At 37.5% G+C, this 17,869-nt stretch overlaps 1 long non-coding RNA gene across 3 annotated transcripts in view; it reads right to left on the bottom strand.

The window, feature by feature from the left end:
- The window catches only part of LOC102724227 (uncharacterized), a 64,172-nt gene that overhangs the window by 15,921 nt on the left and 30,382 nt on the right, over positions 1–17,869 (bottom strand). Inside the window, exons 3-4 of one of the 3 annotated variants that reach the window (XR_001749032.2) lie at positions 4,915–4,977; positions 1,984–4,010 (exon numbers count right to left, since the gene is read on the bottom strand). This is a non-coding gene — a long non-coding RNA (uncharacterized LOC102724227). Of the gene's footprint in view, positions 1–1,260; positions 4,011–4,914; positions 4,978–17,869 lie in introns of those variants that run through there. The other 2 variants (XR_429054.4, XR_931403.3) reach the window with 2 other exon arrangements.

Here is a 17,869-nt window from a genome sequence, read left to right as displayed (position 1 = left end):
AGAAGATTATAGTATGATTTAAATTACTTAAGATTGTAGTATTTCTGGATTATGTGGATGATGACAGTAATGATTTTGCTTCCCATTATCCCTATCAGTATAGCAACTAGCAGGGAGAGTGTCATTTATACCCAAACATAAATTTTATATATATATATATATATATATATATTTTTTTTTTTTTCCATTCAATACTTCTAAAACACTAACTATATGCCCCATTTTCTCATAGAAAAATTCCCCACACTCAATGATCTTACATGATAGTGGGAAAGGACATGTAAATAAATATAGAAAGAAGTATATAATATGTCAGATGGCAATAAGTTCTTTGAAGAAAAATAAACAGTATAAGGGAGATAGAAATACTTAGGCAAGCTAGGGAAGGGGTTCCTATTTTATATAAAGTGGTCAAGAAAGCTAATATGGTGAAATTTCTGTATCTTAGAAACAGCGGAGAGGCTGGGCGTGGTGGCTCACGCCTATAATCCCAGCACTTTGGGAGGCCGAGGCAGGCGGCTCACGAGGTCAGGAGATCGAGACCATCCTGGCTAACATGGTGAAACCCCGTCTCTACTAAAAATACAAAAAAAAAAATTAGCCGGGCTTAGTGGCGGGCGCCTGTAGTCCCAGCAACTCCGGAGGCTGAGGCAGGAGAATGGCGTGAACCCGGGAGGCGGAGCTTGCAGTGAGCCAAGATTGCACTACTGCACTCCAGCCTGGACGACAGAGTGAGACTCCGCCTCAAAAAAAAAAAAAAAGAAAAAATAGCAGAGACAAGAAAGAGTGACCTCTGTGGCTGTCTAGGGTAAAAGAAGCACTTCAGGGAGCGGGAACAAGAAGGGCCAAAGTACTGAGATGGGGCCTGTGTGTAGTGCCCCATGCAAAACACCCAATGTGGTGACTGGCGATGGGGAGGAGGGGAGAATCTGAATTCAGAGAGATTATAGAAAACCAGATTATGTAGGTCACTTTAAGGATTTATGAAATTATTTTAAATGATTTGGGAAACCACTGGAGAACTGGGCAAAGGAGTGACCGGATCTCATTATTCTAAAAAGATCAGTGGGCTACTCGTAGAAATCCTACGCGCTAACATCCTATTGAATTGCAAAAGACTGAATGCTGTTCATCTAAGATGAAGAACAAGGAAAGGATCTCGGTGCTAACTACTTCTATTCCACATTGTACTGAAAGGCTTAACCAGGGCAATACAATACAAAAAGGAAATTAAGCATTCAAAGTTGGAAAGAATAAAAATTATTTATTCTTAGATGACTTTATTTTTAAAATGTAGAAATCCTAAGGAATCTGCAAAACAACTAATATAACTAGTTGAATTTAATTAACAAAGCTGTAATTTTCCAGGTCCATATAGGTAAATAAATTATATTTCTGTATACCAGCAAAACAATTGGGAAATGAGATAAAAAATACAATTCATAATAACAAAGAACCATAGAATACCCAAGGATAAATTTAATTATGGATTTCCAAAACCTATACACAGAAAACTACAAAACACTGTTGAGTAAAACTGAAGAGGACTCAAATAAGTTGGAGAGCTATATCACATTCGTGGATTAGAAGACATACTATTAACATGGCAAGTCACCATGAAATAACAGCCAGCCTAACAGTGAAATGAGACTTGAACTAGGAGAAACAATCTCCTACTTGGGAAGCCAGAGTGCTTGGGGAAATTCCTCTGAGATTTATAGATATATGAGTGACTAATACTTAGTGAAAGTTTTTTTTTTTCTGGAAAAAACAAAAGACTTACAATTGTTTATATGAGGTGAGGAGTTTTATAAAACCCTGTTTTTTAGCAAACATGTAATATTTACCTTCATTACAAAGGCCAGTGCCTTGGAAAAGCTTATTTTGTAATTAAATCAGCATAACTTGAAGTAAAAAAAAAAAACTCTTCCCCACTGAAGCCAGAGTTTAGAGTATCTCATATTTAAAAAGTCAATTTATTACCTTCTCTAGATTATGGCTTTATTAATTTGTGGTGTATTCCATCCAAATCTGCTACTTGCTTCGAAGTCTGAGAGTTTCAGGCCAATATTTTATGTGAGTAACAGTCAGGTTTTATATATGGCCACTCCACACCTAGTAAATCAGGAACAGTATTAGATAATTTGTGGCATATGTAGATATTCAGAATCATTATACTTCTGTGGGATTAGAGTGATTAATGAGTACTCCTGGACCAGGGAGTTAGAAATAGCCAACACGTGGTTATGTTTTGCCTGCTCCTCATTCTTTTCCTGCCCCTTTCTTGTTTTACATTTATATTTTCATGTTCTAGAGCCACTTTCAGATGGTCTAGATGCATACACTTGCCATGAAAGACAAAAGGGTATTTTAAAAACCGTGGTGACAGCACGACCTTGCTAGTTAATTATTGCTAAAAAAGGATATCTGATTCTCTTTCCTAGAACAAAAGTGTTTTGTTTTTTTTTTTTTTGTACTGATTCTTTAATTTTCAACTGGGCAATGAATAACAATCCCATATAAAAATGACTGGTTACTCTGTTACATATCTGGCTAATAGTTTATCTTGGAAGGAATACAGGAAAAAAAAAAGTGGTGTTCGGAGCTAAGGATCTGAGGTTACTTTATTGAGAGTTTATTCTGCCAAGGCTGAATTCTGGTTTTATCTGCCTTCAAATTTTACAGGCTAAAACTATTTTGACCATGTTCTTTAGAAGAGAACTTTTAAACTTTGCTCATTCATTTATCTTAGTCCTGGAGGAGACTGGGAATAATTTTCTGAGAAGAACCCTGGCTCTGCCAGAGGGTGTTCCCTCTGCTCAGAGCAAAGGCAGTTTAGGTGGGATGTTTTGATTCATATCATTTTTCTTCTTCAAGGAACAGACACCCACTTAAATGAGCTCACATGGAAATGCAGTTATAGGGGTCATATTCATTTTCCAGAGCTGCCATAACAAAGTACCACAAACTGAGTGGCTTAAACAACAGGAATTTTGTATCTCACGGTTCTGGAGGCTTCACGTCTGAGGTCCGGGTGTCAACAGGGTTGGTTCCTTCTGACGGCTGTGAAGAAGTAACTGTTCCATGCCTTTCCCCTAGCTTCTGATAGTTTCTGGCAATCTTTGGTGTTCCTTGGTTTGTAGATGTGGCATCTTGATCTCTGCCCTCATCTTCACTGAGTGCTCTTACTGCGTGTACCTATTCCTTAATTTTTAACTGGGAAATGACTAGAAATCCCATATGGAAATGGCTGGTTACTCTGTTACATATTTGGCAAATAGTTTATCTTGGAAGGATAACTATTCTCCAGACTTCCCCTTTTTATAAGGACAACAATATATTGGATTAGGGGCCCACCCTACTCCAGTAGGAACTCAGCTTAACTAATTACATCTGCAATGACTCTATTTCCAAGTAAGGTCCCATTCTAAGGTCCTGGAGGTTAAGGCTCCAACATATGAATGTTTGGGGAATACAGTTCAACCCATAGCAGGGGTTTTCCCAGAACTCTCTTCTCTGGTGCACAGCAGGACCTCACAGATACTGGAAATCTGTCTGGCAGCACTGGAATGTCTGTCACTTTGTCTCAAGGGTCACGTGGTGCCTCTCTTTTCTTTCTGCATGTGGGTTCTGCTTTTTTTGTCTCCAAATCTGCTGCTTCTGCAAGACTTTTGGTTTTTACTCCTCCATAACTTTGGTTTGGTATGGTGCTGACCCTGGTTTCTGGCGGCACACCTCCTTAAAACTGACTGGGGTCTCTGTGGCTTTTAATTAATATTCCTTAGAGAGACATCATGATTGCTTCAGCCCAGCCTGTGGATTGCCTGAATCAGGAATCCACCTGGGGTTCAATCAGCTGGGGCTTGAGGTGGGGGTGCAGCAGTATTGCAGATGGGGGATCTTCAACTCTGGTTGAAGTCAAACACCTTGAGAAGGTTCCAGGGGTGGGGCATGGAAAAAGAAATGATGTGTGACTTAAAATAGCCACAAATTCTTTGACTCTCCTTCCACTGAAAGGTGAAATTTTATATTAGTATGAGTATAATATACTAATTTATATTAGTATAGTATAATATGCTAGTCTATATTAGTAGAGTATAATATACTAATTTATATTAGTAGAGTATAATATTCTAATTTAAGAATTAGACAGCAAAATAGCATTAAATAAGCAAGGATTTTATTAGAGGCCATGCCTATGTGAATGGAAATAGAAAAGAAGTCAGGGAAGTCTGGGGAGTCAGCAGACAGCAGGGCGAGTCCAACTCAGTGCAGGAGAGACGGAAGGAAGCGTGGGGGCACCGCAGATTGTTGTGTATCTAAGGAAGGTTCAGCAAAGCTGTTGGGGAGTCCTTGGGCCAAAGGTGACTGGCAAAGGAGTCCTGTGTCTTCCAGAAATAGGTCTGCCTTATAATCTGCACAATTCTCAATCACTGGTTGGGAGATGTGGACTTTGAAGTGTAGTAGCTGGGCCCCTTATTTAAATACATATCCAGCAATAGGAGGTCTGCAAATCTTTTTTTCCCTCCACTTGAATCTGAGAGGGGTCTGTGACTGCTTTGATCAATAGAATATGGCAGAAATAACCAGGTCACAGTTTCTTAGCCAAGGCCTTAGGAAAATAGCAGCTTTCATTTCCCATCTCTGAGATCACTCTCTGAGATTTCTGAGTCATGGTGGAAGACTTACGAAGACCCTGAGACTTCCATGCTAGAGAAGCTATGTGGAGGTGTTTTGGCTGCCAGTCCTCACTAAGAAGGCCTCAGAATTGTAAGAATGACCCACTGGGCCCCGGTCAAAGTCCTCATGTAGAGGATCATGAAATATTGTAAGTTGATTATTTTTTTGAAGCATCTAAGATGTAAGAATAATTTGTTACTTTGCAGTAGCTAACCAGAACATTAAGTGTCTTACCTATGTTATATGGTATCAGATAAATTCCATCAAAGGTGACAGCTTCCACATAGTTGGACCCTCCTAGAGAAGCAAACAGAGGGTGAAAACTGGAAGCAGCTTGTTGAGGCAAGGAAGGAGAGGGGTAGTGGGGAAAGAGGCTGTGGCTTTTCCTGCTTGCAGTGCACTCTTTCTGTTTTTACTGTCTCACCTATTACTTTCATCAGCATTACAAAAACACCTCATGAGGGGAAAAAATAATTCATGAATAAGTGGAAAAGTATTTATATTAAAATAATAAAAGAAAAAAGTCAAGCATTGTTAGAAACCCATGATATTGAAAATGGTTGTGAGTACACGTTACAACCAAAAGTTGTAAAAAAAAAAAAAAAAAAAAAGCTTCACAATAATAAAATAATTATAAATAACTTGAATTTTTAGAAAAGTTAAAAATAAAAAGCAAGCTAATATTAGAAAGTTAAGATGTAAAAGCACTACAACAGAGGGATGAACAATTGTGAAGAAAAATTTGGATAAGAAAAAATTACCATATAAAAAATATTTTATTAAGAATTATGGAACAAATATAATTTTTAAAAGTCAAGAGATTTAAAGAAAGTAGAAATGAGTCCTGTAAGCATAGAAAATTTCATTATAAAATTAGGGCAAATCAGCACAAGTCAGGATAATACAGCACCTGAGAATACGCTACTTTTTATTTATTTATTTAATTTTATTACTATCTTTTGTTTTCTTTTTTTGTATCATTATTTTTTGTCTGCAGCTTTTTAGACCCATCAAATAAAGCCTAAAAAACAGAAGAAAATAAGAACAGTATAATTTTAATGAAACATACTGATTCAGGAGGGTGGTGAATATTTGGTAGAGTGCTCCAGCTTGGAAATGGATTATTGTGGCTTCCTACCAGTGCCATCCCAGCACATGATGAGGGTCCAGAGTCCTGATACAGAGAGCAACCAACACCTGGGAGTGGTTGTGCCCTCTCTCCCCATTTGTGCCCTCCACTGTGGTCACATCTATGAGGCCAGGGGATCTGCCAGTTACAAAACTTGGGCAATATGGACCTGAATTGAGCTCAGTGCCCAGAATAGTTTAGATACTTGGCAGAAACCCACAGTTTGATTATGTTTTAACAAATTGCATCTGTATTTTCATTTTTAATCCAACATACCATTTGTAGCCAGGCTCAAAAAATACAAATATGTATCACCTTAAGGCATTTATAAATCTGGTACAATGTGTTCACCATTGTTACCTTTTTAGAGAAAAAGATGTGCTACAACTTTTTGCCTAGTCTTTTTATTAAGCTCCACCTACCAATTTTTTGATTTTTATTAAGTAGCCAGGTCGTAGTCATTTAAGTCCAGCCTCTGTCACTTACTACTTACTGATCATACGCAAACAACTTAACCTCTTTTATCCTCAATTTCCTTGTCTGTAGAGTGAGGATTAGAATAGAATTTATCTCATAAGATTGGTGATTAAGCAGAAAAGGCAACTAGAGTGCTTTCCATAATAACTGCCTCATACTAAGTAATAAATGCTATCTGTTTTTTACCATTAATGTGTTATTTATAACAACCATAGATACTGACATCTACTGTTTAATATACCCAATCAGAAATATAATATATTGCTACAACTATTCATGTCTTGTCTGTTATGCTATTAAAAAAATTCAAACCCTAATGACCTAAATTAAATGAGTATTCTAGCATTTAAATATGTTGACCTATATTATCAGTGAAATTAATTCTTCTTCTCAATTAATCTAGTCAGGTATCATTTTATAAAGAGATGCAATTAAGTTTGGTGGATTCATCTTACAGTTTGGACCTCAGTGGATTATTGTCTTCAGTGATAATTTTATTATTATTATTTTTTTGCTTCTGGCTTTCCAGATACATATTCATGCCATCTGCAAATATGACTCATTTATATTTTCATTTTTATGTCTGTGTGCCTATTTTTCTTTTTGCTTGAATAATATTTCCAATGATATTAACATACAAATTGCCAGGATTATTAACATATTAAGTAGAAGTACTAAAAGGGAGAATTTGTTGTCTTTTTTTTTTTTTTAGAGAATTACTTCAATGAATCTGTATTAAATATATTAACATGCAACTTGAAATAGATATACTCTGTGAAGGTGAGTTAAGGAATTCTCAATGACTCTAGTTTTAGATTTAAAACTTGGAACAGATACTGGATTTTTGTCAAATGTGCTCTTGGTGTTTACTGAGAAGCTTAGAATATCTTAGCTTTTTCTCCCCTTGTTAATATGATGAGTCATGTTGATTACTTTCTTTGTGCTACATCAATTTGAAATCCCAGGGTAAATCATTGGCAGTTTTTATAATACTTGAATACATTTTAGAATACTTGAATATTCAAGTATTATAAAATATATATAACTTATAAATGATTATGATTATCATTTATAATTGAGGTTGGCCTAGTAAAACTGTTGGTATTTCTCTTTTAGGTTTTGCAATCAAAACAGTTTTTGCCTCATGGAGAAATGTGGGGTACTTTTTCATTTTAAATAATTTTAGATAGTTTTATATATGTATATATATGTATTATTTAAAAAAATTTTTACAAAGCTTTGCAATGAATTTATGACCATGGAATATATATAGTTATATATAAAACTATATATAACCACATATATAACTATATATGAAGTATATATATGAAGTATATATAGTTATATATATGAAATATACTATATAATAAAAGTATATATAGTTATATATATGAAATATACTATATAATAAAAATATAGTACATATAGTTATATATATTTATATATGTATAGTAACAAGTTATCTATCTATCTATCTATCTATATATATATAGTAACAAGTTATCAATGCTACTTGGTTCTTCAGTTTGAATCAATGGTATAGTGAGAATACCAATGCACAGGATTGGATTGGAAAGTCAGCCCCACATGAATCAGAGATCTTACCTTATATTACCCAAATGAAGTTAAGGAACAGGCACTCAGTCGGTTCAGATGCAGTGAGAAGTATTTTCCATGTTGGCTATGTTCCTCTGGCTCAGGATAGGCTGGTTTGCATTTGAGGTTATGGGAGTATCTCCCACAGTGGGAGATAGTCCAAGGGAATTGAATAGCCCACGAGGCATTCTCCAAGGGATCATGCCCCATAGATCCTGGATTCTATTTACTATAGGTAATCTGTAGCCAGAGACTTCCTGTTAAAGGCAATTCAGAAATAAGCTATCCTCTTCCTAATAAATTTCTGTAGTATATTTACCCAGTGGTACAGTTGACAAGGAGGAGGTCACCTGCCTTCTGCCAGGGAGTGGCTTATGAGAACATAGTACCCCCACCCCATGAAGAGAGTGAATGAATTGAAGGCCATCTGCTTTGACCTTTTCCTACCAGTTAATTAGTGTTTCTGGTGATCAATTTTTACTTATTTTTGTCTCCCCTTTCCCAAGCAAGCTTGTTTTTGCTCTTTGTTGTATCATTTCTTTTTTCCAACTTTATTTGGCCTAATTGTTTCTTTCCCAAATCTTAGGGTGGTGTCAGTTAGTACATATATTCAGAAAAGTACATTTGTTTTTAGATATTACTTTGGCAATACCTTATGAATTTTCATATGTTTTACTTATATTTTTACTGTTCAAATATTCTGATATCTTATTTCTTCCTTAAATAAGATTTTGAAGTGCTATTTTTAATTTTTAAATTATTAGATAACTTTTATTTTGTCTAATATTGCAATGAATGCTGTGAATGTAGCATATCAAGTTCTGCTTTTTGATATCTTCTAAGCAAATGCTTGAGTTTCAAAGTATCATGAATTTATGGTATCTGTAAACATTTATCAAGCACCTAAAATGAAGTATCACTGGAATGGAAGAAGTATCTCTGAATCCTCTTTCCTCTCATTTCTTAAAGATTTTGTGATCATATTTTCTTATGCTGGCATCATTATATTATCCTCTCTACTAAAGTATTCTAACTGGCATACCCCAGTATCTCTCATATATTAAATGGGATGGGAAAATTTGGGGACACTCAGTATGTTTCCTAATCCCCCAAACCTGTGGATCTGTTACCTTACATGGCAAAAGGGTCTTTAAAGATGTGACTTAGTTGAAGATCTTAAGATGAAGAGATTATCCTGGATTATTCTGGTGAGCCCAACACAATCACAAGGGTCCTTCTAAGAGGAAGGCAGGAGGTTCAGAGTCAGAGAAGAAACTGTGATTAAGGAAGCAGAAGCTTTGGAGTGAAGAGAGGCCATGAACCAAGGGATGCAGGTGGCTTCATATGTTGATTTTGCATCCTCCAACTTTACTGAATTTGATCAGTTCCAATAGTTTTTTTATGGAATGTTTAGCTTTTTCCAAGTATAAGATCATATCATCTGAAAACAGGGATAATTTGACTTCTCCTTTTTCAAACTGGATGCCCTTTATTTATTTCTCTTGTCTTATTGCTCTAGCTAGGAATTCCACTACTATGTTAAATAACAGTGGTGAAAGTGGGCATCCTTGTCATGTTCCCAATATTAGAGGAAAGGATTTCAGTTTTTCCCATTTAATATGATACTAGCTATGAGACTGTGTATATGCCTTTTATTATGTTGAGGTATGTTTCTTCTACACCCAGTGTTTTGAGGGTTTTCATCATAAAGGGATGTTGAATTTTATCAAATGCTTTTTCAGCATCAACTAAAATGATCATATGGATTTTGTCTTTTATTCTATTGATATGATGTATTGCATTAATTGATTTGCACATGTTGAACCATCCTTGAATCCCTGCAATAAATTCCACTTGATCATGATGAATGGTCTTTTAAGTGTTTTCTTGAATTCGGTTTGCTAGTATTTTGTCAAGGATTTTTGCATCAATACTTATCAGTGATATTGGCCTGTGGTTTTCTTTTTTTGATATGTCATTGTCTGGTTTTGATATCAGGGTAATACTGGCCTCACAGAATGAGTTTGAAAGTACTCACTCCTCCTCATTTTTTGGAACAGTGTGAGTAGCATTGGTATAAGTTCTTCTTAAAATGTTTGGTAGAATTCAGCAGTGAAGCCACTGGGTTTCTTGCTTTTCTTTTTTTTTATTATTTTATTTTATTATTATTATACTTTAAGTTTCAGGGTACATGTGCACAATGTGCAGGTTAGTTACATATGTATACATGTGCCATTCTGGTGTGCTGCACCCATTAACTCGTCATTTACCATTAAGTATATCTCCTAATGCTATCCCTCCCCGCTTCCCCGACCCCACAACAGTCCCCAGAGTGTGATGTTCCCCTTCCTGTGTCCATGTGTTCTCATTGTTCAATTCCCACCTATGAGTGAGAACATGCGGTGTTTGGTTTTTTGTTCTTGCGATAGTTTACTGAGAATGATGATTTCCAATTTCATCCATGTCCCTACAAAGGACATGTACTCATCATTTTTTATGGCTGCATAGTATTCCATGGTGTATATGTTCCACATTTTCTTAATCCAGTCTATCATTGTCGGACATTTGGGTTGGTTCCAATTCTTTGCTATTGTGAATAGTGCCGCAATAAACATACATGTGCATATGTCTTTATAGCAGCATGATTTATAGTCCTTTGGGTATATACCCAGTAATGGGATGGCTGGGTCAAATGGTATTTCTAGTTCTAGATCCCTGAGGAATCGCCACACTGACTTCCACAATGGTTGAACTAGTTTACAGTCCCACCAACAGTGTAAAAGTGTTCCTATTTCTCCACATCCTCTCCAGCACCTGTTGTTTCCTGACTTTTCAATGATCACCATTCTAACTGGTGTGAGATGGTATCTCATTGTGGTTTTGATTTGCATTTCTCTGATGGCCAGTGATGATGAGCATTTTTTCATGTGTTTTTTGGCTGCATAAATGTCTTCTTTTGAGAAGTGTCTACTCATGTCCTCCGCCCACCTTTTGATGGGGTTGTTTGTTTTTTTCTTGTAAATTTGTTTGAGTTCATTGTAGATTCTGGATATTAGCCCTTTATCAGATGAGTAGGTTACGAAAATTTTCTCCCATTTTGTGGGTTGCCTGTTCACTCTGATGATAGTTTCTTTTGCTGTGCAGAAGCTCTTTAGTTTAATTAGATCCCATTTGTCAATTTTGGCTTTTGTTGCCATTGCTTTTGGTGTTTTAGACATGAAGTCCTTGCCCATGCCTATGTCCTGAATGGTAATGCCTAGGTTTTCTTCTAGGGTTTTGATGGTTTTAGTTCTAACGTTTAAGTCTTTAATCCATCTTGAATTAATTTTTGTATAAGGTGTAAGGAAGGGATCCAGTTTCAGCTTTCTACATATGGCCAGCCAGTTTCCCCAGCACCATTTATTAAATAGGGAATCCTTTCCCCATTGCTTATTTTTCTCAGGTTTGTCAAAGATCAGATATTTGTAGATATGTGGCGTTATATCTGAGGTCTCTGTTCTGTTCCATTGGTCTATATCTCTGTTTTGGTACCAGTACCATGCTGTTTTGGTTACTGTAGCCTTGTAGTATAGTTTGAAGTCAGGTAGCGTGATGCCTCCAGCTTTGTTCTTTTGGCTTAGGATTGACTTGGCGATGTGGGCTCTTTTTTGGTTCCATATGAACTTTAAAGTAGTTTTTCCCAATTCTCTGAAGAAAGTCATTGTTAGCTTGATGGGGATGGCATTGAATCTCTAAATTACCTTGGGCAGTATGGCCATTTTCACTATATTGATTCTTCCTACCCATGAGCATGGAATGTTCTTCCATTTGTTTGTACGCTCTTTTATTTCATTGAGCAGTGGTTTGTAGTTCTCCTTGAAGAGGTCCTTCACGTCCCTTGTAAGTTGGATTCCTAGGTATTTTATTATCTTTGAAGCAATTGTGAATGGGAGTTCACTCATGATTTGGCTCTCTGTTTGTCTGTTATTGGTGTATAAGAATGCTTGTGATTTTTGTACATTGATTTTGTATCCTGAGACTTTGCTGAAGTTGCTTATCAGCTTAAGGAGATTTTGGGCTGAGACAATGGGGTTTTCTAGATATACAATCATGTCATCTGCAAACAGGGACAATTTAATTTCATCTTTTCCTAATTGAATACTCTTTATTTCCTTCTCCTGCCTAATTGCCCTGGCCAGAACTTCCAACACTATGTTGAATAGGAGTGGTGAGAGAAGGCATCCCTGTCTTGTGCCAGTTTTCAAAGGGAATGCTTCCAGTTTTTGCCCATTCAGTATGATATTGGCTGTGGGTTTGTCATAGATAGCTCTTATTATTTTGAGATACATCCCATCAATACCTAATTTATTGAGAGTTTTTAGCATGAAGGGTTGTTGAATTTTGTCAAAGGCCTTTTCTGCGTCTTTTGAGATAATCATGAGGTTTTTGTCTTTGGTTCTGTTTATATGCTGGATTACATTTATTGATTTGCGTATATTGAACCAGCCTTGCATCCCAGGGATGAAGCCCACTTGATCATGGTGGATAAGCTTTTTGATGTGCTGCTGGATTCAGTTTGCGAGTATTTTATTGAGGATTTTTGCATCAATGTTCATCAAGGATATTGGTCTAACATTCTCTTTTTTTGTTGTGTCTCTGCCAGCCTTTGGTATCAGGATGATGCTGGCCTCATAAAATGAGTTAGGGAGGATTCCCTCTTTTTCTATTGATTGGAATAGTTTCAGAAGGAATGGTACCAATTCCTCCTTGTACCTCTGGTAGAATTCGGCTGTGAATCCATCTGGTCCTGGACTCTTTTTGGTTGCTAAGCTATTGATTATTGCCTCAATTTCAGAGCCTGTTATTGGTCTGTTCAGAGATTCAACTTCTTCTTGGTTTAGTCTTGGGAGGGTGTATGTGTCGAGGAATTTATACATTTCTTCTAGATTTTCTAGTTTATTTGTGTAGAGGTGTTTGTAGTATTCTCTGATGGTAGTTTGTATTTCTGTGGGATCGGTGGTGACATCCCCTTTATCATTTTTTATTGTGTCTATTTGATTCTTCTCTCTTTTCTTCTTTATTAGTCTTGCTAGTGGTCTATCAATTTTATTGATCTTTTCAAAAAACCAGCTCCTGGATTCAACAATTTTTTGAAGGGTTTTTTATGTCTCTATTTCCTTCAGTTCTGCTCTGATTTTAGTTATTTCTTGCCTTCTGCTAGCTTTTGAATGTGTTTGCTCTTGCTTCTCTAGTTCTTTTAATTGTGACGTTAGGGTGTCAATTTTGGATCTTTCCTGCTTTCTCTTGTGGGCATTTAGTGCTATAAATTTCTCTCTACACACTGCTTTGAATGTGTCCCAGAGATTCTGGTATGTTGTGTCTTTGTTCTCGTTGGTTTCAAAGAACATCTTTATTTCTGCCTTCATTTCGTTATGTACCCAGTAGTCATTCAGGAGCAGTTTGTTCAGTTTCCATGTAGTTGAGAGGTTTTGAGTGAGTTTCTTAATCCTGAGTTCTATTTTGATTGCACTGTGGTCTGAGAGACAGTTTGTTATAATTTCTATTCTTTTACATTTGCTGAGGAGAGCTTTACTTCCAACTATGTGGTCAATTTTGGAATAGGTGTGGTGTGGTGCTGAAAAAAATGTATATTCTGTTGAATTGGGGTGGAGAGTTCTGTAGATGTCTATTAGGTCTGCTTGGTGCAGAGCTGAGTTCAATTCCTGGGTATCCTTGTTAACTTTCTGTCTCGTTGATCTGTCTAATGTTGACAGTGGGGTGATAAAGTCTCCCATTATTAATGTGTAGGAGTCTAAGTCTCTTTGTAGGTCACTCAGGACTTGCTTTATGAAACTGGGTGTTCCTGTATTGGGTGCATATATATTTAGGATAGTTAGCTCTTCTTGTTGAATTGATCCCTTTACCATTATGTAATGGCCTTCTTTGTCTCTTTTGATCTTTGTTGGTTTAAAGTCTGTTTTATCAGAGACTAGGATTGCAACCCCTGCCTTTTTTTGTTTTCCATTTGCTTGGTAGATCTTCCTCCATCCTTTTATTTTGAGCCTATGTGTGTCTCTGCACATGACATGGGTTTCCTGAATACAGCACACTGATGGGTCTTGACTCTTTATCCAATTTGCCAGTCTTGTGTCTTTTAATTGGAGCATTTAGTCCATTTACATTTAAAGTTAATATTGTTATGTGTGAATCTGATCCTGTCATTTTGATGTTAGCTGGTTATTTTGCTCGTTAGTTGATGTAGTTTCTTCCTAGCCTTGATGGTCTTTACAATTTGGCGTGATTTTTCAGTGGCTGGTACCAGTTGTTCCTTTGCATGTTTAGTGCTTCCTTCAGGAGCTCTTTTAGGGCTGGCCTGGTGGTGACAAAATCTCTCAGCATTTGCTTGTCTGTAAAGTATCTTATTTCTCCTTCAATTATGAAGCTTAGTTTGGCTGGATATGAAATTCTGGGTTGAAAATTCTTTTCTTTAAGAATGTTGAATATTGGCCCCCACTCTCTTCTGGCTTGTAGAGTTTCTGCCAAGAGATCTGCTGTTAGTCTGATGGGCTTCCCTTTGTGGGTAACCCGACCTTTCTCTCTGGCTGCCCTTAACATTTTTTCCTTCATTTCAACTTTGATGAATCTGACAGTTATGTGTCTTGGAGTTGCTCTTCTCGAGGAGTATCTTTATGGCGTTCTCTGTATTCCCTGAATCTGAATGTTGGCCTGCCTTGCTAGATTGGGGAAGTTCTCCTGGATAATATCCTGCAGAGTGTTTTCCAACTTGGTTCCATTCTCCCCGTCACTTTCAGGTACACCAATCAGACGTAGATTTGGTCTTTTCACATAGTCCCATATTTCTTGGAGGCTTTGTTCATTTCTTTTTATTCTTTTTTCTGTAAACTTCTCTTCTCACTTCATTTCATTCATTTCATCTTCCATCACTGATACCCTTTCTTCCAGTTGATCGCATCGGCTCCTGAGGCTTCTGCATTCTTCACGTAGTTCTGGAGCCTTGGCTTTCAGCTCCATCAGCTCCTTTAAGCACTTCTCTGTATTGGTTATTCTAGTTATACATTCTTCTAAATTTTTTTCAAAGTTTTCAACTTCTTTGCCTTTGCTTTGAATTTCCTTCTGTAGCTCGTAGTAGTTTGATCATCTGAAGCCTTCTTCTCTCAACTCATCAAAGTCATTCTCCATCCAGCTTTGTTCCGTTGCTGGTGAGGAACTGTGTTCCTTTGGAGGAGGAGAGGCGCTCTGCTTTTTAGAGTTTCCAGTTTTTCTGCTCTGTTTTTTCCCCATCTTTGTGGTTTTATCTACTTTTGGTCTTTGATGATAGTGACATACAGATGGGTTTTTGGTGTGGACGTCCTTTCTGTTTGTTAGTTTTCCTTCTAACAGACAGGACCCTCAGCTGCAGGTCTGTTGGAGCTTGCTAGAGGTCCACTCCAGACCCTGTTTGCCTGGGTAACAGCAGCCGTGGCTGCAGAACAGTGGATTTTCATGAACTGCGAATGCTGCTGTCTGATTGTTCCTCTGGAAGTTTTGTCTCAGAGGAGTACCCGGCCGTGTGAGGTGTCAGTCTGCCCCTACTGGGGGGTGCCTCCCAGTTAGGCTGCTCAGGAGTCAGGGGTCAGGGACCCACTTGAGGAGGCAGTCTGCCCGTTCTCAGATCTCCAGCTGCATGCTGGGAGAACCACTGCTCTCTTCAAAGCTGTCAGACAGGGACATTTAAGTCTGCAGAGGTTACTGCTGTCTTTTTGTTTGTCTCTGCCCTGCCCCCAGAGGTGGAGCCTACAGAGGCAGGCAGGCCTTCTTGAGCTGTGGTGGGCTCCACCCAGTTCACGCTTCCAGGCTGCTTTGTTTACCTAAGCAAGCTTGGGCAATGGCGGGCACCCCTCCCCCAGCCTCACTGCTGCCTTGCAGTTTGATCTCAGACTGCTGTGCTAGCAATCAGCGAGACTCCTTGGTCATAGGACCCTCCGAGCCAGGTGCGGGATATAATCTCCTGGTGTGCCGTTTTTTAAGCCTGTTGGAAAAGTGCAGTATTAGGGTGGGAGTGACCCGATTTTCCAGGTGCCGTCCATCACCCCTTTCTTTGACTAGGAAAGGGAACTCCCTGACCCCTTGCGCTTCCCAAGTGAGGCAATGCCTCACCCTGCTTCGGCTCACACAGGGTGTGCTGCACCCACTGTCCTGTGCCCACTGTCTGGCACTCCCTAGTGAGATGAACCCGGTACCTCAGACGGAAATGCAGAAATCACCCATCTTCTGCGTCGCTCATGTTGGGAGCTGTAGACCGGAGCTGTTCCTATTCGGCCATCTTGGCTGCTTCCTCTTGCTTTTCTTTACTGGAAGAAATTTTGTTACAGCTTTGATCTCATTACTTGTTATAGATCTGCTCAGGTTTTGGACTTTCTTCATGGATCAGTCTTGGTAGGTTGTCTGTTTCTAAGGATTTATCTGTTTCTTTTAGATTTTCCAGGTGATTGGCATATAGTTGCTCATAGTAGCACCTAATTAACCTTTGAATTTCTTCAGTATCAGTTGTGATGTCCTCCTTTTCAACTCTGATTTTATTTATTTGAGACTTCTCTCTTTTTTCTTGCAGAGTTTGGCTAAAAAGTTTTGTCAATTTTGTTTATCTTTTCAAAAAAACAACTTTTTGTTTCATTGATCTTTTGTATTGTTTTCTTCATTTCAATTTTATTTATTTTTGCTCTGATCTTTATTATTTCTTCTACTAATTTTGGGTTTGGTTTGCTCTTGCTTTTCTAGTTCTATATGATGCATTATTTTGCTGTTTATTTGAAGTTTTTCCTCCTTTTTTGATGTGGGTGCTTATAGCTATAAACTTCCTTCATAGAACTGCTTTTGCTTTGTCCCATAGGTTTTGTTATGTTGTGTTTCCACTATCATTTGTTTCAAGAAATTTTTAAATTTTCTTTTTAATTTCTTTATGGACACACTGGTCATTTAGGAGCATATTGATTAATTTCCATGAGTTTGTACAGTTTCCAAAATTTCTCTTCTTAATGATTTCTAGTTATATTCCATTGTGGTCAGTGAAGATACTCAATATTAGGCTGGGCATAGTGGCTCACACCTGTAATCCAAGCACTTTGGGAGGGTGAGGAGGATGGATCACTTGAACCCAGGAGTTTGAGACCGGCCTGGGCAACATGGAGAAACCTTGTCTCTACAAAACGCACTCATACACACACACACACACGCACACGCGCGCACACACACACACACACACACACACACACACACATCCCTTAAAAAAGATGCTTGATATTATTTCAATTTTTAAAAAATGTTTTGAGACTTATTTTGTGTTCTAATATAAGGTTTATCCTAGAAAGTAATCCATGTGCTGAGGAAAAAATGTGTAGTCAGCAGCCACTGAATGAAATGTTCTGTAAGGATCTATTAGGCCCACTTGGTCTATAGTGCAGATGAAGTCTGATGCTTCTTTTTTGATTTTCTCTCTGGAAGATCTGCTTAGTACTGAAAATGATGTGCTGAAGTCTCCAGCTATTATTGTATTGGGGCCTATTTTTCTCTTTAGCTCTAATAATATTTGCTTTATACAACTGAGTGCTCCAGTGTTGGGTGCATATATATTTACAATTGTTTTATCCTTTTGCTGAATTGACTCTTTTATCATTATATAGTGGCCTTTATCTCTTCTTATTGTTTTTGTCTTGAAATTTATTTGGTCTGATAGGAGTATAGCTATTCCTGTTCTTTGGTTTTCCTTGCATGGAATAGTTTTTTCCATCTCTTCATTTTCAGTTTATGTGTGTCTTTACAGGTAAAGTGTGTTTCTTGTAGGCAATAGATCATTGGGTCTTTTTTAAAAAAATTCAGCCACTCTGTGTCTTTTGATTGAAGAGTTTAGTCCTTTTACATTCAGTGTTATTATTGATAAGTAAGGACTGTGAACCCAAAAGTATCTGAGACAGGTCTCAATCAATTTATAAAGTTTGTTTTGTCAAGGTT

Source organism: Homo sapiens, chromosome 12, assembly GCF_000001405.40.
Source record: "Homo sapiens chromosome 12, GRCh38.p14 Primary Assembly".
Classification (NCBI taxonomy): domain Eukaryota; kingdom Metazoa; phylum Chordata; class Mammalia; order Primates; family Hominidae; genus Homo; species Homo sapiens.
The sequence above is the reverse complement of the archived record's forward strand: the minus strand, read 5'-3'. Positions and strand labels throughout refer to the sequence as shown.